The sequence below is a fragment of the Homo sapiens genome, chromosome 16, assembly GCF_000001405.40.
Source record: "Homo sapiens chromosome 16, GRCh38.p14 Primary Assembly".
NCBI lineage: Eukaryota > Metazoa > Chordata > Mammalia > Primates > Hominidae > Homo > Homo sapiens.
The window spans coordinates 26161208-26183936 of NC_000016.10; the positions used below are offsets into that span (position 1 = coordinate 26161208).

The following is a 22729-nucleotide window of genomic DNA, read 5'->3' on the forward strand; positions in this document are numbered from 1 at the left end:
CAACTTAACCTTTCTTAAAGCCCATGTCAGGGGTGTCCAATCTTTTGGCTTCCCTGGGTCACATTAGAAGAAGAAGAAGGGTCTTGGGCCACACATAATATACACTAACACCAACAATAGGTGATAAGCTAAAAATAAAAAATAAAAAAGACAAAAGGATTTCATTTATTTATTTTTTTTTTTTGAGACAGAGTCTCACTCTGTAACCCAGGCTGGAGTTCAGTGGCTCACTGCAACCTCTGCCTCCCAGGTTCAAGCGATTCTTGTGCCTCAGCCTCCCAAATAGCTGGCACTACAGGTGCACACCACCAGGCCCAGCTAATTTTTGTATTTTTAATAGAGATGGGGTTTCACCATGTTGGCGGGACTGATCTCAAACTCCTGACTCCTGACCTCAAGTAATCCTCCCACCTTGACCTCCCAGAGTGCTGGGATTATAGGCATGAGCCACTACACCCAGCCAAAATCTCGCAATGTTTTAAGAAAGTTTATGAGTTTGTGTTGGGCCCCATTCAAAGCTGTTCTGGGCCTGCGGGCCTCTGGTTGGACAAGCCTGGCCTATGTTATGGTCTGAATTGTGTCCCCACAAATATTATGAAATTCTAACCCCCAGCACCTCAAAATGTGACTGTATTTGGAAAAAGGGCCTCTAAAGAGGCAATTAAGTTAGAATGAGGTCACTGAGGTGGCCTCTAATCCAATGTGACTGTTGTCTTTATAAGAAGGGGAGATTAAGACCCAGAGACACAGAGAGAGGGTGAAGGGAAGACACAGGGAGCCGACAGCTGTCTGCACTCCAAGAACAGAGGCCTCAGAAGAAACCATCCCTGCTGGCACCTTGATCTCAGACTTCCGGCCTCCAGAACTGTGAGACAATACATTCCTGTTATTTCAGCCATCAAATCTCCGTGGTATTTTGTGACAGCAACCTGTATTCATCTGTTAGGGTTTTCATAACAAAATGCCACAGACTGGGTGACTCAAGCAGCAGATAACTATGTTCTCAGTTCTGGAGGCTGGAAGTGCAAGATCAAGGTCTTGGCAGGGTTGGTTTCCTCTGAGGCTTCTTTCCTTGGCTTGCAGATGAGCACCCTCTTGCTGCCTCATGTCAAGGTTATTTCTCTGTGCACACAAATCCCTGGCATCTCTTCCTCTTCTTAAAAGGACGCCAGGCCGGGTGCGGTGGCTCACGCATGTAATCCCAGCACTTTGGGAGGCTGAGGTGGGCGGATCACCTGAGGTCTGTAGTTCGAGACCAGCCTGACCAACATGGTGAAACCCCATCTCTACTAAAAATACAAAATTAGCTGGACGTGGTGGCACATGCCTGTAATCCCAGCCACTGAAGAGGCTGAAGCAGGAGAATTGCTTGAACCTAGGAGGCGAAGGTTGCAGTGAGTGGAGGTTGCAGTGAGCCGAGATCGTGCCACTGCACTCCAACCTGGGCAACAAGAGTGAAACTCCATCTCAAAAAAATAAACAAACAAAGAAAAAAAACACTTGTCAGATTGTATTTGGGCCCTACCCTCAAGGTCTCATTTTAACCTGATCATCTCTTTCCAGGCCCTATCACTGAATGTAGTCCCATTCTGAGGTTATTGTGGGTGTTAGGACTTCAACACATGAATTTTGGAGCCTCAAGACCTCATTTTAACTTAACCATCTCTTTCCATGCCCTATCTCTGAATATAGTCATATTCTGAGGTTATCATGGGTTTTAGTACATGAATTTTGGGGGAACACAAATTAGCCCATAACACAGCCCTAGCCATCAAATACAGTCTCCAAGTAACATGGATGATTTAAATCAAGGTCTGGCTGGGCTCAGGAACAAGATCAGCTTAAGATTAAAGCCAACAGACTACTCAGTGTTCATCCCTTAATGGCAAAAGTTCTGAGCACCCTCACGTGACCTTCCTACAGATTCACTAACTGAGCTTGGACTCTCATCCTGTGTGGTTCATTCAGTCTGCAATGAAGGCTGGAGGAGAGAGGAGACCCTGGACAATTTAACTCTGAAAAACTAGCTTTGGATCCTGGGTCCCAGCAGTCTCATCACCTGAATGGTGCTATAGACATAACCAATTGAGACAAAGGAAATTTTTGACCATAGACATTTTCAAGAAATTTCCTTTTAGGCACATAAAATTTATTGAAATTTCCTTGCAATATTTATTAAAAGTAGAGATTCCCAGTTCTGTTCTCCAGTTTTCATTCTCTGAGTCTGAGAGTGAGACCTGAGGATCATTTTATAAGACAAAACAAAACAAGAAACATTCCAGGTTATAACTTGGATTTTAGGCCCCCAAACCTACAATAGGAGAGGCAGGGCTACCTCGTATGGCTGCACAGGTTGTGCACTAAACAAGAAGCTGTAAAAAGCGGCCCAGGGCAGAAGTCCTAGTGTTCCACATCATCCACAGGATCACACTTACGTATTTGTCACTTTATAGTTTGCTGCACAACTCACCACTATTATTTCATAGCACAGCAATTCCATAGGGGGAGGAAGAAAGGCAAGGCCTGAGTGAGACAGTTCCAGGGTGGGAGAGAGATTCCATTTGAGAGGCCAGCAGTATAGGAATTACAGGGTTGTATGGGTCAAGAAACAGTTCTACCCGGGCACAGTAACAAACACCAAGAAGCAGCCAGGTGACAGAAGACTAAAATCAGACCCTGAGATATGAGGGAGGAAGGAAAAAAAAGAAGCAAAGCAAAATGTGACTTTTTTGGGGAAAGACAGGTAGAATGTTCTAAAATCGAGCATATCTGGATTCATATCTTGGTCCTGACACTTCATGAGCTCATGACACCAAATGAGTTCAATCTGCACGGGGCCTCAGTTGTCTTGTGGTCACAGCCTCACACATCTGCAGAGAGGATTATGTGGACTGATGTCAACAACGCTCTCATCTCAGGGACCAGCACAGAACGAATGCTCAATAAATGGCTAGTATTGAGTAGACTTGGATTCAGAGAGACGAGCTTGGCCATTGGGCTAGTCAAGTGCAGGACGGAGAGAATGACTTAAAAGTCCAATTCCATACAGTGATCAATAATCACCTGTGGGAGAATATTGATCTTCCTCTATGGGACTAGACCACCCAGCATCCGCTGCAGTAGAGATGTCCAATAAACTCATGTGAGTGGGAGAAGCTGTGATGGTTGTGTTCATGCTTCAGTCCACAGTAATGACTCCAGGTCCCAGTTGCCAATGATAAACTCCCACTGGTCAAAATTGCCTGCAGTGACATTGAGCCTGGTGGAGAAGAAGTAGAGATTAAAAGCAGTTGGGAGTTTAGGAAAATATGTGTCTTAGAAATTGTCTGATCAACTTCTCTTAATGGCCCCTGTAGCTTTTCTTCGTGGCTTGGGATTGTGAAATCTGTATGCTACTGTAGCAAAACCAAGTTTGCATTTTAGGGGCATAATTCTGGGCCTTTGCTGTTTTTGATGGTTTGTTTGTTTTTATGAGACAAGGTCAAGCTCTGTTGCTTAGGCTGGCGTACAGTGGTGTGAGCACAGCCCACTGCAGCCTTGACCTCCTAGGCTCATGTAATCTTCCCACTTCAGCCTCCCAAGTAGCTGGGACCACAGGTGTGTGCCACCACAACTGGCTAATTTTTGTATTTTTTGTAGAGACAGGGTTTTGCCGTGTTGCCCAGGCTGGTCTCAAACTCCTGGACTCAAGCAATCCTCCAGCCTTGGCCTCCCAAAGTGCTGGGATTACAGGTGTGAGCCACCACTCCCGACCTGCTGTTCTTATCACTTTAAAATCACCTCCTGGAGATATTCGGGTGGGTCATTCTCGCTTCACTCTGGTCTCTGCACAAACATTATCTCAGTATCTTCCAACTCCCCTATATAAAACAGCACCCTCCCTTATTTTATATTCCCTTATTCCACTGTATAGACTTACCACTTCCTGACTTCCTGGTTTTATGTTATAGATGGATTGATTAATTTTATCTCCCTCTAAACTGTAAGATTCTTGAAGACAGGGACTTTGTTTTGTTGGCCACTTTATCCCAATGGCTTGTCCAATGAAAATGGAGGAATGAGTGAGAGCTCCACTGTTTCAGGGTCTTGCTATCTCCAGCCACCTACCGATTTATTATTTTAAAAGAAAGTCTTCCCAAAAGAGATAAGGAAAAAAAGTTTTGTGTGTTCTATCAGTAGTCTTTCATTCATATGGGTTTATTTAATTTACAAAAATTGTGCCATAGGCTGGGCGCGGTGGCTCACGTCCGTAATCCTAGCACTTTGGGTGGCCGAGGAGGGCGGATCACCTGAGGTCGGGAGTTCGAGACCAGCCTGACCAACATGGAGAAACCCCGTCTCTACTAAAAATACAAAATTAGCGAGGCGCCCGGCCTGTAATCCCAGCTACTCAAGAGGCTAAGGCAGGAGAATCAATCGCTTGAACCCGGGAGGCGGAGATCGCGGTGAGCCGAGATCGCGCCATTGCACTCCAGCCTGGGCAACAAGAGCAAAATTCCACTATTTGGTACTTGCTTTTTCCCTTGCCATATGTCATAAAGTTTTTCCTTTAGCAATAAATAGTATTTAAAGTAATATTTTAATATTATCACAGAATACCATTTTCTAGATCCTCCAGAGTTTCCTTGACCTCTTTTTAATGAACATTTTATTTTGCCCAATTTTGTATTATTATAAATAAAGCTATCTGTTAGCTATCTATTGCCGTGTAACAAGTTACCCGGGAACTTAGTGGCCTAAAACAACATTTATTCTATCTCAGTTTCTGTGGTCAAGAATCTGGGTGTGGCTTGGCTGGATCTTCTGGCTCTAAGTCTCTGCTAGGTAGGCTGTAATCAAGGTGTCCAGGCTGTAGTCTAATCTCAAGGCTTGACTGGGAAGGGTCCAATTCTTACACCATGCATGCGGTTGTTGGCAGAATTCAGTTCTTTGTAGGTTGTTGATGTGAGTGTCTCAGTTCCTCACTGACTGTTAACTAAAGACCTCTTTTGGGTCTTTGCCACGTGGTCTCCTCCATAGGCAAGCTTGCAGCCTGGCAGCTTGCTTCATCAGAGCAAGCAAATGAAAGGATGAGAGAGAGGGAGAGAGGGGTCAGTGAGGAGGGAGGGAGGGAAAGAGGACACAAGACAAAAGTCAGTCTTTCTAACCTGAGCACAGAAATGACATTCCGTCTATTTGCCACATTCTATTTGTTATAGAAGCAAGTCACTAGGTGCAGCCCAAACCCAGTGGAATAACACAAAGGTGTGAATACCAGAAGACAGGGTAATTAAGAGCTACGTCAGAAGCTGCTTACCACAGGCTGATATGAATATTTCCATCTTTACCCAGAGATATCTACATACATTTTTTAATACATCCCTGATTGCTTATTCAGAATACATTTTCTAGAAGGAGAATCATTGGGTTGTAGTATGCAGACGTTTATTACTAAGTCAAGTGCTATGCATGTTTTATAAGGCTTTTGATACATAAAGTTGTAATGTCTTCAAAAATTAAAAATGTTACAGCAATTACCCGTCCCCACCCCCTTTTCAGTATTGTATGGGCACACCATTTGGCCCACACACCCATCAACAATAATTCTTTCATTCACTCTCAAGTTAATGGGTGCAACATATGTCACAAGAGTTTTTCAAAGTTTTTTAATTGCTAGGGCTCTAACACATTTCTTACGTTTATTGAGTTTTTGTATTTTTTTTCTGTAAAGAGCTAGTTCCTGCCCTTTGCCCATTTTTCTATCAAAACATATATACTTTTTATTGATTTGTAAGAGCTCTGCATATTTTAAATATTCTATTTCTGATACACAAATAGAAATAGAATAAACATAAGTATTTAAAAAATGTAATATCCAATTTCTGTTTTATAGTTTACAAATACTTTTTCATAGTTTGGAATAGGCTTTTTCAGTTTTGTTTATGGTGTTTTGAATATATACATAATATATACATTTGTGTATATATGAGATATATATTTATATATGTATATATTATATATACATATATGTATATGTGTATCTGTATTACATACATCAGATATATATGTAATATATACACATAATATATGTTGATATATATGTATATGTATTACATATGAGATATATATGAGATGAGATGTATATGTAATATATACATATATGTTGATATATAGAGATGGGTGTGTATATATATGTATATGTATATATGGGTGTGTATATGTATATATAAGTATACATACTTATATATACTTATATATATAAGTACATATTTAGATCTCATATATATGAGTGATATATATCACTATATGTAAATGGGTATCTATATATATGAAAAAATATATGTTTTCATATATAGGATTTCATATGTATTTTCATATTTTTAATATAATTTATATATTATGTATATTATATGTAAAAATATATATTTTTTCATATATATAGATATATACCCATTTAAGGAATATTTAAGGTAAACCAAACATATCAATATACTTCTTTATTTTTTTCTTCTGAGTTATCCTTTAAGAAGTCTTATCTATACCAACTTTGCTCATATTAAGATTTCTGCCTTCCTTCCTTTCTTTTACATTTGACATTATAATGCTTTTTTTCACCTTCTCTCATTTATTGTTTTATGTATTCAAGTAACTATTTAGCTTTTTTCATTTCCTCTTACTGTTATTATTTTTATAAATAAATATTGACCTGCTCTAAGACTATATATTGACTGACTTTTCCTTTTTCTACGGATGTGAAATGTCATATTTTTTATAGTTTACATTTTTATATATGTTTTGATCTCTTCCTGGGCTAGCTCTACTTTTTCTTTGATCAAACTATCCATTCCCACACTGTTTAATAAATATATTAATTTTATTGATAGTATAAGTTGTTAGTATATTTTCATTAGGATATTATTACATTAGTACATTAATGTATTTATATATTAATATACATTATTCTTACTAATTATTAACATTTTTCTAGCTACTCCAGATTGTTTTTTTAATGTAAGAATTATTTCATCAAGTCATAAAAATTGCTAGTTTAATCAAAATCATTTACACCTATAAATTAGGAGAGTTAATATTTTTAAATTTTCTTCTTCCAAATAAAAACATAATGCCTCTGTTTTCTCAATTCCACTTGTATGAACACTCAGTAAATATTTGTGACAATTTTTGTAGATCTTGAATATTTTGTGTCCTCCTTAACAACAATTATAGCTATTTCTATTCCACGGCTTTGTAATATTGGGGAAATTAGTTCACCTCTCTGAACTTCCATTGCTCATCTTTAAACTGGACATGTTCACTGCTACCTCTCACGGACCCTGTGAGGGGTAAATGATAAATCTAAATCTCTCAGAGCAGCTGGCAGCACACCAGGTGTTCAACATGTGTTAGTAAGAGTTGTTGTTAATTTAAAAGGAATTGTAGAACCACATTAGATAATCATGATCATGCCAGACCATGACGGAAATTCCTCTTCCACGTAACAACTCTCTGCACCTGGTGCAATTAGCCTATAAATCTTTCGAAGTGAGGCAATGAGGCAAGGGGATAGCAAACAGCAATCCAAGTTGAGATATTGTGGTTTTAACTCTTTTTGTTCAGTTCTGCTTCACACTCCTTACCAGAACCTTCCAACTCCTTATCAGATGAAAGCTGTTTAATTTCCGATGGACATGGGAATGTCAATCTTGTTGTGTCATTAAGTATGACTTGGCCATTAAGAGTGCTGTATTAATATATAAATACAGGGGTAAACAGATGCTGTTTATCTTCCTACCATCTTATCTTAGTTATTCTAACTCTGGGATTCTATATGATGGTTCCATTGTGTGGTTCTCTCTGATGGTCCTATATGATGGGTCTGTGTGTTGATGTTAAAGGATGACTTATATGATGATTTTATATGATGATTTTAAATGATGACCTATGAGCACTTTCTCTAAGGTACTTATTTTAAGACTAGTACAGAATTTCCATGGGGAGCCCCTCTACTCTGTCGTAGAAGTAGATGTTTAGTGGATGGAGAATGAATGGGGAGGAATTGAGGGTTGGCAGAAGGGTTTTCAGGAAGAGAAGGGGGACTAAGGGTGGCATGGGTGTGAGTAGTAGAAGGAATGACAGTTAGTGGGAAGAAATGACAGTTAGTGGGAAGAAATAGGGTTGGCTGAGGGATGGAGTTCTGGAGCTGAAAGACCAGCAGAAAAAAGAGGAGAGAGTTAGAGGGAAAAGAAATGAAACGAGAAGTCTTAGATTATTCAACTTCTGCAAAAATCATAGTGGAAATGTCCCAAAATGTTGCCAACAATACATTCTGTGACTAAGTCATTATGCAGAGAGATGAGCTGGGGGCTGAAGGACAGAATTAATATAGTAAGTAATTCTATCCCTTTGGCAATGTCTTTCTGCATGAAATAATGATTTTATGTCTCACTTCTCTCCAGCCCGCGCATTCCTCATAACAAACAGTTCCACAGTGAGTGAGTATTTATGTTTCAAGGCAACAGCATAGGCATAATGGACTATCCTCTGAATCTTTTTTATGGAAAGGAATGCCAGGGCTGCCTAGGAAACCTGGGAGAGCTTTCCAGTTGGGAATAATACCACTGCTGCTGGCTGCAGGAGATAGAGTGTGGAATTTGGAACCAGGCAGATCTTCGTTCAGACCCTTCCAGTGCCATTTACTGACTCACCTTCTCTGCAGCTCAGTCTTCTTCTTTGGAAAATGGGGATATTCACATTGACCTCACATGTCTAGCACAGTGGAACACAGACAGGGCTCAATAATGGTCAACCAGGAAGACGTCAAATCTCCCAGACCATGTATTTGGGGGAACACAAAGCTGGATGGCAAAATTCCAGCTTGTGAACAGAAAGGAAGTAATGAAGGGATATCTGTCAGTCCCTGCACATCCCTATGAATGCTGATATAGTTTGGATGTCTTCTCCAAATCTAAATGTAATCTCTAGTGTTGGAGGTGGGGCTTGTTGGGGGTGTTTGGATCATGGGGGCAGATCCCTCATGAATGGTTTATTGCCATCCCCTTGGTGATAAGTGAGTTCTCTGGAGAGCTGATTGTTTTAAAGTGTGTGGCAGCCAGGTACAATGGCTCATGCCTGTAATCCCAGCACTTTGGGAGGCTGCAGTGGGTGGATCATGAGGTCAAGAGTTCGAGACCAGCCTGGTCAACATGGTGAAACCCTGTCTCTACTAAAGATAGAAAACATTAGCCAAGCATGGTGGTGCATGCCTGTAATCCCAGCTACTGAGGAGGCTGAGGCAGGAGGATCGCTTGAACCAGGGAGGCGGAGGTTGCAGTGAGCCAAGATCACACCATTGCACTCCAGCCTGGTGACAGGGCAAGACTCTGTCTCAAAAAAAAAAAAAAAAAAGTGCATGGCACCTCCCCCCTTGCACTCTCTCTTGCTTCTGTTCTTGCCAAGTGGCATGCCTGTTTCCACTTTCTCTTCCACCATGAGTAAAAGCTCCCTGAGCCCCTGAGAAGCTGAACAGATGGCAGCGCCATGCTTGTACAGCCTGCAGAACCTTGAGCCAATTAAACCTCTTTTCTTCATAAATTACCCAGTATTCCTTTATAGCAAGGTAAGAACAACCTAACACAACGCTTACTTCATTCATTCAACAATAATTCATGCCACTTTTGTTCCAAACACTGTGTTGTAGTGATAAGATGGGTGATTATGAAACCTGCCTTTGGTCATCATTTTTATTGGATTACCTTTGTACACTTACTGTGTACTATATGCTAAACCACTAAATGGCATTGCTAAGCATTTTACACTTAATTCATATCATAGGAAGAACCCAAATGGGTTGCAGTTGTGCCCATTTCATAGATTAAAAATACCTCAAGCACAGTAAGTTAAATAACTTCTCTCCCCAGGATCAGACTGTGATATAGCCTGGATTTAAACCTGTATGACACCATTAAAGCCTGTATGACACCATAGTGTGAGCTCTCAACCTCTGAGCTATATTACCTTGAACCTCCCTTCCATTTCTCATAGTTTAGTGCAGGAGGCAGCTATGCAGATTAACACAACAGACTCAGTATGAAGAGCTCTGAGACTGTTGTGTAAGATTCAGTAGGATCATAAACAATGAATTATTGTCTGAATATCAATTGACTATGACTGAATTATCCTAGGCTTTTGGGGATGGCTTGACAAAGGGAATAAACATCTGATTTGAGTCCTGAAAAATTAGCAGGACTTTGCCACACAGACCTGGCTTTCTAAGTGGTGAAAATAGCCCCTTTAAAGCCATGGTGGCTTGACTATTCACAATGCCGGCAATCAGGAGGCACCAGGTACTTTGTGGCTAAAGCAGAGGAGCTCCTTTAGAAAAATGGCAGGACATGAGATGGGAGGGATCTGATGAAACTAGATTGCAGGGGACTTTATTGCCTGTCTAGAGAGTTTGCAGTCTATCCTAAGGGTAATGGAGAGCCACTGAAGCATTTTATGAGAGGAGTGACATGATCAGATTGGTGTTTTAGAAAGATCATGCCTGGTGAGTGAATGGATGGCTAAAGCCTAGTGGCAGATGACACCAATGCTGCGTTGAGCTACCAGCTCAGGTAAGAAATAATGAGATCCTGGCCGGGCGCGGTGGCTCACGCCTGTAATCCCAGCACTTTGGGAGGCCGAGGCGGCGGATCACGAGGTCAGGAGATCGAGACCACCCTGGCTAACACGGTGAAACCCCGTCTCTACTAAAAATACAAAAAATTAGCCGGGCGTGGTGGCGGGCGCCTGTAGTCCCAGCTACTCGGGAGGCTGAGGCAGGAGAATGGCGTGAACCTGGGAGGCGGAGCTTGCAGTGAGCCGAGATCGTGCCACTGCACTCCAGCCTGGGCGACAGAGCGAGACTCCGTCTCTACTAAGATATATATTAATATATATTCATATATATATCTGGTTGTTGTGGCATGCCTGTGATCCCAGCTACTTGGGAGGCTGAGGTGGAAGGATCACTTGAGCCTGGGAGGTCGAGGCTGCAGTGAACTGTGATTGCATCACTGCAATTCAGCCTCAGTGACAGAGGGAGACCTTATCTCAAAATGAAAGAAGAAAGAAGACAGAAAGAAAGACGAGAGAAAGAAAGAAAGAAAGAGAGAGAGAGAGAGAGAGAAGAAAGAAAGAAAGAAAGAAAGAAAGAAAGAAAGAAAGAAAGAAAGAAAGGAAAGAAAAGAAAGAAGAAAGGAAAAAGCTGTTAATCCTTCACTTACAGCCATAGTTGTTTAAGTGCAGTTCCAAGACTAGTCATTGTATCACCCCTGAATGTGTTAGAATTGCAGATGACTGGGGACCACCCCATATCTCCTGTATCAGAAAGTCTGGCATGGAGCCTTGCGACTGGTGATTTATCAAGCAGTGCAGGTGATTCTTGTGCATCCTCACCTTTGTTTGGGAGAGCACCAGCACTACATTGACATAATTAAATATTTGTTGAGCAGAACTGAACGAATGGACACTTACTAGGAGAGCATTATCTCTGAAGTCATGTGTAACCCCAAGTAGTCTTAGTTCCACCTTCAGGGAACAAGATGAAAGTGGAAAAGACATTGGGGGGTGGCTGATATTTTCTTTAAATCTCTCTGAAGATCACTGCATTTATATCTCAGGCCTACCTGCTTCCTAAGCTGTCTGGGAACCCCAGTTGGAAGGTGATTTTTTTTTGAGTGTTTGAGATGAGCAGTTCTTTTAAATCACTGCTTCTCAAGATTTTGAGTTCTTGTCTTCTATCTAGGACATCTTTGTGCAAACCAAGATCATAAAGAATTGTTTCTTATGTTTTGTTCCAGAAGTTTAATAGTTTTTTCTTTTATATTTTGGACTATGCATCTTATTTTTTGCATATGGCATTAGATAATGATCAATATTCATTTTCCTCCATATAGATTTCCAGTTGGTTCATCACAATTTATTGAAAAGGCAACCATTTCCTAATTAATTTGCATTTGCAACTTCATCATAAATTGGTTGACCATGTAGTTGTGTTCTATTTCTGGATTTTCTGTCTACTTCCATTGATACATATGTCTGTTTTTTTGACAATACCACATTGTCTTGTTTATTATAGTTTTATATTAAGTCTTGAAATCAAGTGGGACAAGTCCTCCAATTTTTTTTTTTCAAAATTCGTTCGGCTATTCTAGTTTCTTCACTTTTTCATATAAGTTTTAAAATCAGCTTGACACTTTCTACAAAATAGCTACTGTGATTTTTATTGGGATTTCATTTACATGTAGCTCTATTATATTTGGAGATAAATAAAATATTAACAATTTTGAGTCTTTGCATTTATGAACATGGTATACCTCTTCATTTATTTACATTGTCTTTAATTTCTTTTAGCAATGTTCCATAGTTTTCAGAGAAGAATCTTGCATATTCTTTGCTAAAATTAGTGTTGAGTCTTTTAAGTTTTTTGCACTAACACAAATGAAATTGTTGTTCTAATTTTATTGTCATCTAATTTCTGCTGCTATCCCAAAATAAAATTAAATTTTGTATACAAAATTTTATCCTGGCCAGACATGGTGGCTCATGCCTGTAATCCTAGCACTTTGGGAGGCTAAGGAGGGCAGATGGCTTGAGCCAGGAGTTCGAGACCAGCCTGGGCAACATGGTGAAATCCCATCTCTACAAAATAAACCTATAAAAAATACCCAGACATGGCAGACCACACATGTGGTTTCAGCTACTTGGGAAACTGAGGTCGGAGGATCGCCTGAGCCCTGGAGTCAGAGGTTGCAGTGAGCCAAAGTTGCACCACTGCACTCCAGCCTAGGCGACAGAGTGAGTCCCTGTCTCAAAATAAATAAATAATATATATATATTTTTAAAAATAAATTTTATTCTGCAACTGCTACATTTAATTTTTAGTTTTAGTAATTGTTTTAAGGATTCCTTAGGATTTTCTACAGCTGACAAATAAAATTGTTTTTTTCCTCTTTTCAATAAGAATATCTTTATATTTTTCTTGCCTTATTGGACTGGATCTAGTATAGTACTAAATAGAAGTGATTTGAGCAAATATCCTTGTCTTGTTCTTTAACTCAGAAGGAAAGCACTCAGTATTTCAAAATTAAGAATGTTCACTGAAGGTTTTACATAGGTCCCATCTATTAGGTTGATGATGTTTTCTTTTATTCATAACTTGCTGAGAGTTTTTCTTAATTACAAATGAATGTTAGATTTTGTCAAATTATTTTTCATTTATTAAAATGATTACATGTACTTTTCACATTTATCCTTTCATTATGATTAATATTATTAATAGATTTTGGAATGTTAAGTCAATTTTGTGTTCCTGGAGTAAACCCTGCTTGGTTATGATGCACTATCTTTTTCATATATTATTGGATTTAATTTGTTGATTTCTCAGTGGATCTTTGTGTTTATGTTATCATGAATATTGGTCTGCAATTTTATCATAAAGTTGTCAGATTTTGGTGTCAGAGTAACTCTGACTTCATATAGTGTATTGAGAATTGTTCACTCATCTATTTCCTGAAGTAATTTTTGTAAGATAATTACCATTCCTTCTTTAAGTTATATTTTAAGATGATAATGCTGCTGTTTTTCAGAATAGACTGATAGGATCAATGATTATAAGCAAGGAGAACTGTTAGAAACCTCCTATAATAATCTAGAAAAGAGATAGTGGTTGCTCATTCTAGAATGGTAATCAGATTCCAGATATATACAGGAAGTGAAGCAAACAGGATTTTCAGTAAGAGATGATGGGGGTGTACATAAGAAGGGTGATGTCAAGATTTCAGGCTTTTGGAACTGGAAGAATAGAGTTGCCCTCACATGAGTTGGGGAAGGTTGTGGTTGGAATATGATTTGGGCAAGTCAAGATTTTAGCTCTGGACATGGTAAGTTTGAGATGTCTTTTAGACGTCCTAGCAGAAATGCTGCATAAGCAGCATGATTTAGGAGTCTAAAGATTAGAAATGAATTCTCAGCAGTAGATTCAAAACTGGAATCACTAGGGAAAGTCATGAGATTGAATGTGACACTGAGTGAGTGTGTGAACATGAGAAGAGAAGAGGTGCAAGGACTCTTGGACTTGGCATGCCAATATTAATAAGCTAGGGAAAGAAGAACTACAAAATAAACTGAGAAAGAGTAACCAAGGAGATCGGGCAAAGCCAGGAAAGTCAAGTGAAGAAAGCATGTCCAGGGGGAGGGAATGAACAACAACGTGAAGGCACCTGATAGCTTATTTGTGATGAGACCAAGAATTTGTCACAGGATTTGGCAACTTAAAGGTCACTAGTGATTTGGAAAAGAGCAGTTTTTGAGGAGCAAGCTTAACAGAGAAAAGAAAGAGAAGAATTATAGACCGAAATTGTAGAAAACTACGTAATAGCTAAAGAAAAAGAACAGGAGCTGGCAGGAGAAGTGGCATCAAAACATATTTTTCTTTTGTTTTGTTCTTAAATGGGAGACATAACAACATACTCAGCTGTAAGCACCTCTTCCCTTCCCCTTTCTGTGAATGGCATTCGTGATGCATTTCATACCATTTCCTATACCAGCCCCCTTTCTATTTCAACATTTTTGAAATGGTACATTTTTTTTGTTAATAGAGTCGCTGTTCATGATGCGTGGCTTCTGAATCTCTTTCTGGCTTGAACTCAGTAAACATCTGGCTGAAGCCTCCTGTTCTGTGTCTTAAGGCTTGAAGTTGCAACACGAACAGAATGTCAAGCCTAAACTAGTGTCCTTTTCTTTATTCCCTTCTTGTACGTGAGTAGATTCTATTCATTTTCACCCCTTAAAACCTGTTATCAGTACTTCAGCTTTCAGCACAGGCATCATTTCCTTAAGAAAGGCCTCCCAACCTCCCTGACCTTCCTGCCACCCCCACTATTCTAACTCAGTGGTCCTTCTTCCCACGGTCTCCTGCACGGTGTACGTTTCCTTCAGGGCACTGATGTCAGTTTGTTGTTGCACTAGTATGATGACTTAATTACCTTCTTAAGTGTAAGCTTCATGTCAGTTTCACTTCCTTTCCATAACCTCCATACCCTGGAATTTATTCAACAACCTTCTTCTGTAGATTAGCTATGTGCTGAACCCATTAGGGCTACTGAGAAAATTATGCAATAGGACCTGCCCCTGAGGCACTCACAGTTTAACAAAAGAGATAAAGATTTAAAAAAAAAAACCCATAATTCTAGACATTGTGTTATAATATCTAGGCATACAGGAGTGACCACCCAGAACACAAAAGTAGTGATTTCATTTCCTTTATCTTATCAAAACAATAGATGAAAATAGATATAAAATAATAGGAGAGTTCATAAAAAGAAACAACAATGATTGCTGAACTTTTTTTCTCATGTTGCCTTCACTTTTAACTATTTCTTTTCTCCATTCTCTTGGTGGTTATCTCCGTAATAATACCCTCATTCTATAATTTTTTGATGTACCAACTTTACGCATTGTGATTGACTTCCTACTGTGAGAGAGCGTGAGTTAGCTCTCTTATGTCACCACCAACACAAACTTCCTGTCCCCTTTCCCATTTTCTAATATAGATTTATCACTATTCTTGGTAATTCCACTAATCTCTCCTGACCATTCAAACAGTAGAGTTAGATTTCTTACTTAGTTTGATAAACCAGAGAGACAGACAGTAGTTGTTTGAGCCTGGATTTGAAACAGTAGTGGTTTTTCAGGAGGACAAGAAATCAGTCAAGTGGCAATGACAGTGGGCACTCCAGGCTGGTGATAAATCATGCAAAATGTTGCTGAAGGGGAAAGGATTACATCAGATCTAAAGTACATATGGCATCCACACTGACATATAGAACCTAAAGTATAATTTCAAGTTGTCTGTTGAATTATCCAGGGCAATCTGTGTGCACAGAGTAGGTCCAAAAAAACAGGAAGAAGTAGGTTAGAACAGATCAGCCCTGGATTTGCACAGAAGCAATTCCTATCACCCATACAGTCTCATTAGTAAAAACAAGAAGCCCAAAGCACTTTGCATGAAAAAAATACTTTTCCATTTTGATGTGAAATATTCAAAAATGTCACAGCCTTTTTAGCTGTTTGCTTATTTTGGAAACCAAATAGAAAGAAGTATTTTTCAATTAACTCCTGTCTGCTGTAAATTTGTAAATGGAAAAGCTACATGAAAAAAATATATTTTGCTAATCTTTGGTCTGAGAATTTAATTAAAAGAACATCACATTGCTAAAACCTAAACTTTCCTCTTGTATAGGTTGCTGCATATCAGATTAAATTTTAACCAGCACATCAGAGCATTTCCTTAGAATGTGTCAGTATGCTAGGAACTTGTACGTGCCACAGTGCAAGGAATCTTCAACAAAACCATGTGAGATAAGTGTTATTAGTATTCAGTGAAACAGGTGTAGAGAGCCAGCCCAAACAGCTTAATGCCATTTATATAACAATAGCAATGATTTACATATTGAGCACTTACTAGGTGGCCTGCTCTTTGCTAATCCTTTCACCAAAATTATCTCCTTTCATCCTTACCATGTTCCTAAATAGACAGGCTTTATTTCCCCATCTTTTGGATGAAAAAATTGAGGTTCACTGTCTTGGAATATTATAAATTTCCCACACTTATTGAGTAGGTAAGCTAGGTTCTCTCTCTCTCTTTTTTTTTTTTTTTTTTTTTTTGAGATGGAGTTTTGCTCTTGTTTCGCAGGCCAGAGTGCAATGGCACAATCTCGGCTCACTGCAACCTCCACCCCTCGGGGGTCAAGCGGTCCTCCTGCCTCAGTCTCCTGAGTAGCTGGGATTACAGGTGCCTTCCACCATGCCTGGCTATTTCTTTGTATTTTTAGTAGAAATGGGGTTTCACCACGTTGCCCAGGCTGGTCTTGAACTCCAGACCTCAGGTGATCCACCCGCCTCAGCCTCCCAAAGTGCTGGGACTACAGGGGTGAGCCACTGCGTCCATCAGGATTCTCATCTTAACCCAGCCCTATACCTTAACCAGTAGACCTGGAATCAAAAGGACAATCTCACTTTACCAGCTACTAGTTCTATTCCATCCCGATTCCTAGGGCAAGAGATTGTTAGTGATTGGAACCTTTCTCAATGCCGGAAGGCACGTCATTGCATCATGATGCCTTCTAGGGTTGGAAAGAATAAATTGCCATAACTGAATTCCTTTTGAGCATGCTTGTTAACCCCTCCTAACTGAAGACAGTCTTAAGGCAAATCCACATTCCAAATCATCATACTTCCCAGGCGTCTTAGTGAGAATGCTGGAAGAAAAGACTAGCAATCCACCCACATGCTGAGCTCTAAGATACGCTAGGAATGTCTCTGCCCAAAGACACTTTGTAGAATAGATGAGTTATGGGTTCTCAGAATACGAAGAAACCTCAAAGGCCATCAGTCCATTTCTTCCTTCCTCGCACAGAGCAGGTTTCCTCTTGGTAATATCACTGGCAGAAGGTAAAAAGCACTGGTTTAATGCTTTTCCAAGTTCCCTGTTGTTTGGAGCAGAATCCTGCCACTTACCTGTGTCCATATTTCTGTCTTCTGAATCCACATTAAAAAAACTGCTTCCTTTCTTGACATTTTTTATTCATTTAGTCAACAATAGTTGTCATATTGTTACTGAGTATCAGGTAGACATAATGAGAGGAAAAGATGGTGTGGACAACTAGAAAAACACGTCCAAGAGACTAAAAGCAGAAGGAAGAGCTTGTACTACTTAAAGAATAGGGGGAAAATCCATTATGGCAGGATAAGAGATTGTCTTAGAAAGAAGCATAGCATTAGCTAGATGGAAACATCTTGTCCCTTTCAAGAATAACTTGCAGCCAGGTGCGGTGGCTCATGCCTGTAATCCCAGCACTTTGGAAGGCCAAGGTGGGTGGATCACGAGGTCAGGAGATCAGGACTATCCTGGTCAACATGGCGAAACCCTGTTTCTACTAAAATACAAAAAAAAAAAAAAAAATTAGCCGGGCGTGGTGGTTCATGTCTGTAGTCCCAGCTACTCAGGAGGCTGAGGCAGGGGAACCACTTGAACCCAGGAGGCGGAGGTTGCAGTGAGCCAAGATTGCACCAATGCACTCCAGCCTGGCAACAGAGTAAGACTCCATCTCACAAAAAAAAAAAAAAAAAAAAAAAGAATAACTTGCTTGGAATCATAGGGACACACTAAAAGGACAAAGAAGGTACAACCTCTGGCCAAGTCAGAGGCAATTTATTCCCAAGCATAAATGCTGTCAAAATGTATCCTAATCCATCAAATGAAATAAAAATCAATGAATCAGTTTTGTTACAAATTGATGAATCAATACATAAGTAAGTACTGGAGGAAGAGGTGGCTCTTCCTTATAAAAGAATGCCACTAACAAATACAGAAGAAATGATGGAGTTAGAAAATTATTGATGAGATACTTTTATTTTGGGTTTTATGGGGAACAGGATGTTTATTTATCTTCCTACAGGATACTTATTAATAGCAAAAGGAAAAATAGAAACTTTGTAATGGGTAGATTTAGTAATACCACTTTAACCAGTTGATCAAAGTTAGCATCACAGATATTGGGACAACCTGACATCATGGGTCTCTTAATGATATAATGCACTGAGAAGAATGCAACATCATCTCCATGGAGTTTCTGCCAGAATTCTTAACTCAGATTTAGTTGTGAAGAAATATCAGGTAAACTCAAATTGAGGGACATTCTACAAAATAACTGACCTTCACTCTTCACAAATGTCAGTGTCAAAAAAGACAAAGAAAGGCACAGAACAGTCTTGATTAAAGGAGACTGAAAGAGACACACACAAGTAAATTCCATGTGCAATTCTGGAGTGGATCCTAGACTAGGAAATTTAAATAGCTTAATAAGATATTATTGAGACAATTAACAAATTTTGAATATGAATAGCATTATGAATTGTGCATTACTTAATGATATTGAATTTGTATCAAAATTTCTGATTTTGATAGTTGGCTATGTAAGAGAATCATGATGTTCTTAGTAATACGGACTGAGAATACATAGCATGTCTTACAAAAAAGTGTATCTCTACATCTGTCCATCTACCCATCCATTAATTAAAAAGAAATGATAAATCAAATGATAAAACAAATTGTTTGGCCGGGTGCGGTGGCTCACGCCTGTGATCCCAGCACTTTGGGAGGCCGAGGCGGGCGGATCATCAGGTCAGGAGATCGAGAGCAAGCTGGCTAACACAGTGAAACCCCGTCTCTACTAAAAAATTAGCCGGGTGTGGTGGCGGGCACCTGTAGTCCCAGCTACTTGGGAGGCTGAGGCAGGAGAATGGCATGAACCCAGGAAGCGGAGCTTGCAGAGAGCCAAGATTGCGCCACTGCACTCTAGCCTGGGCGACAGAGTGAGACTCCGTCTCAAAAAAAAACAAAAACAAATTGTTTTTTCTGATTTTCAAAACCTCATTTGACCAGAGGTTGTCCCTTTAAACTGCTTTCTTTGTCCTTTCAGTGTGTTCCTATGATTCTGAGCAAGTTAGTCTTGTAAGGGACAAGATGTTTCCATCTAACTAATCCTATGCTTCTTTCTAAGATAATGGAAAAAAACTGATGAATCCAAGGCAGGAGAATATGGGAGTTCCATGTAGTATTCTTACAACTTTTCTATAAATTTGTTATATGAAAATACTAAAATAAAAAGTTACAAATCAAGATTAGCTGGAGGAGTAGGCAGAATCAAACACAGAGATTATGCAAGTCCTTACACGTCATCTTACAGATTCGGGGTAAGAAACTCTAGAAAGGTGTTAATCTTGACAGCATCAAGAGAGGGTGCGAGGAGGCCTCTCAGTCCAGGAGGAGGTGATAGTGGCTGTCTGGGGAAGTAGTATGGAAACTGAGAGGTGTGGAGAGATTCAGGAGGTTTAAGGGGAGGTAGAATAGGCTGGACACTATGATTAACTGAGCAAGTGAGAAAGGAGAGAGTGTGCCTTGAGCAAGCAGGAGGATGGCACCTCGGAGTTGAAATAACAGGCTTTGCAGACTCCACTGGACCTGTGATAGTTTGGCTCTGCCTTTTATGGAAAGGAAGAACCAGACCAGATGTTCTGTTCCATGCTGTGTGTTAAACTCTGAAACTTAGAGCCTGAGCATCTTTATTTTTCCTCTCTTTGGAAGGTCGTTTCACCATTTATCTACCTAGCTTCTATATCCTGTTGATGATTCTAAACCCCCCCCAATATCACATAAATCCACACTCTCTTCACTATCTTCAGTATCACTATTTTGGTCAAAACTGTTATAGTCCCTTTTCTAGACTTTCTGTCTTCTTTAGATCTTAACTTTATCTCTCCCACCCATCTCACGTTACACAATAATGTGACTAAAATGCAAATCTAGTCATCTTTTCCCTACCTTGAAACAATCCTCAATTCCAATAGAATTGTATCCAAGCTTTTTGTCTTGGCATACAATGACTTCAACTACATGGCTTTTCCCAACTTCCTATTGCCATCTCTGACTCCCTCTACTCATTGTGTCAGCAAAGCACAGCACGCAGAAGCACAGGGCGTGGATCCCACTTCTGACACATGACCATTGTGCCACTTTGTACAGGTTTGTTTTTTGTTTAATCAGAGAATCTGTTTCTCATTTAGAACATGGTAATGTTAGTATGTCCATGTTTGTATCATTATTATGAGGATTAATTGAGATAGTGTTGGTAAAGTGCTTGGCACATGGCAATTACTATACTCAAGTTACCAGGAACTTCTCAGGACTCGCCAGACATGTACCCGTCAATGCTAATTTCCTCCTCTGAGTTTTTGCATTCATTTCTATCCCTTGGATTGTACTCGTCTTTAAAGGAACTTGTCAAATGACACCTCCTTTGAAAAGCTTCTAGACTTCCCAACTTCCCGGTAGGTGTCCAGATAAGTGGTAACATAATTATTTTACCAGTTCAGCAGATATTTATTGGGAGCACAGTGTGCCACCACTGGAGACAGACCAGTAAAGAAGACTGTTGTCCCCATGGAACACACATTCTAGTATAGGGAGGCAGAAAATTAAGAAGTAAACAAACACAATTCAACAAGGTAACTGCAGAGAGTGCTAAATTTCGTATAGGAGATTGAACATAATGAAGTAAGAGAGAATGATGTGGGATGAAGGCAATGGTGGGTAAAGCAGTCAGGGAAGAATTTTTTGACTTCATAAGTGAGCTGAGTCCTGAATAAGGAGAAGAACCTATAAGAATAGCAAGAAGAAGGCTACTCCTGGCAGATACAAAGGACTCGAAATGGAACTGAGCTTGCATTGACCCAGGAACCCAAAGTATTTGGGGAATATTGAGCAAAGGCTAGAAAGGAACCAGATGAATTTGAGCAGTAGTTAGGGGCTAGAGGACATACAACCTGAGAGCCATGATTAAACCCTAGATACGTTAATACAAGGACTAATAGCCTGTATGTTCCACCCTATAATAAGAAAATCTCTGCTGGGAAAGGTGAAGCGCTATTCTTGTCTGAGATAGGAGAACAGATGAAGGTTATTTTCTAAATATATTGTTGTTAGGATTAATGTCTATAAAAGAAATATAACCAATGAAGCAAAGTCTAATTGAAAGTATATTGAGGATTACATCCTTGTGCCAAAAGTATTACCATTTGCTTTGCTTGCAAAATAAGGCAATACTGAAAGTTGGAACAAACCTTGTTTTGCACTTAAGTATCTGACCGTCACAGAAAAGATGGACATTTGAGTTGTTTCCACATTTTGGCTATTAGGAATAATGCTATTATAAATATCCATGTACATTTCTGTGTAAGCATGTTTTTATTGTTCTTGGGCATATACCTGAAAGTGGAAGTTCTGGGTAACACAGTAAACTTATGTTTAACTTTTTGAGAAACTGCTAAACTATTTGCTGTACTATTTTACTTTCCTATCAGCTATGTACAAAGGTTACTCTTTTGTTCTGTCTTTCTACACACTTGTCATTTCCTTTCGTTTTTAAAAATTAAATTCATCATAGTGGGTATGAAATGGTATCTCACCACTTTGATTTGCAGTTTCTTTTTACTTTTTTTCTTTTTAGATGGAGTCTTGCCCTATCACCAGGATGGAGTGCAGTGGCATGATCTCGGTTCTCTGCAACCTCTGACTCCCTGGTTCAAGCGATTCTCCTGCCTCAGCCTCCCAAGTAGCTGGGATTACACACACGTGCCACCACGCCCAGCTAATTTTTTGTATTTTTAGTAGAGACGGGGTTTCACCGTGTTAGCCAGGATGGTCTCGATCTCCTGACCTCATGGTCTGCCTGCCTTGGCCTCCCAAAGTGCTGGGATTATAGCCGTGAGACACCGTGCCCGGCCCTGCAGTTTCTTAATAACCAATGACATTGAGCATCTTCTTATATGCTTGTTGACCATTTGTGTATCTTCCTTGGAGAAATGTCTATTCTTTTATCCATTTTAAAAATTAGATTGTCTCTTTGTTGTTGAGTTGTAAAAGTTCTTTATATATTCTGGATATTAAACCTTTAGTCAAACCCAAAGAGATATAAAGCAGATTAGAGTTTACCAGAGTATAAGGGGAGGGGAGTGGGGAATAATTACTTAATGAATTTATGGTATTCAATGGATGATAAAAAAGTTTTGAAACTGAAGAGAGCCCCTGGTTGCATATCATTATAAATATGCCAACTATCACTGACTTGTATACTTTAAAAGGCTAATT

At 39.6% G+C, this 22729-nt stretch overlaps 1 annotated feature.

The window, feature by feature from the left end:
• Positions 16034-16864: an enhancer, noted in NCBI's record as "OCT4-NANOG-H3K27ac-H3K4me1 hESC enhancer chr16:26188562-26189392 (GRCh37/hg19 assembly coordinates)". NCBI's record gives its function as "activates a minimal SCP1, AML or CMV promoter by ChIP-STARR-seq in naive and primed H9 embryonic stem cells {active_cell/tissue: H9 hESC(naive and primed)}" and the evidence as "EXISTENCE:reporter gene assay evidence [ECO:0000049][PMID:30033119]".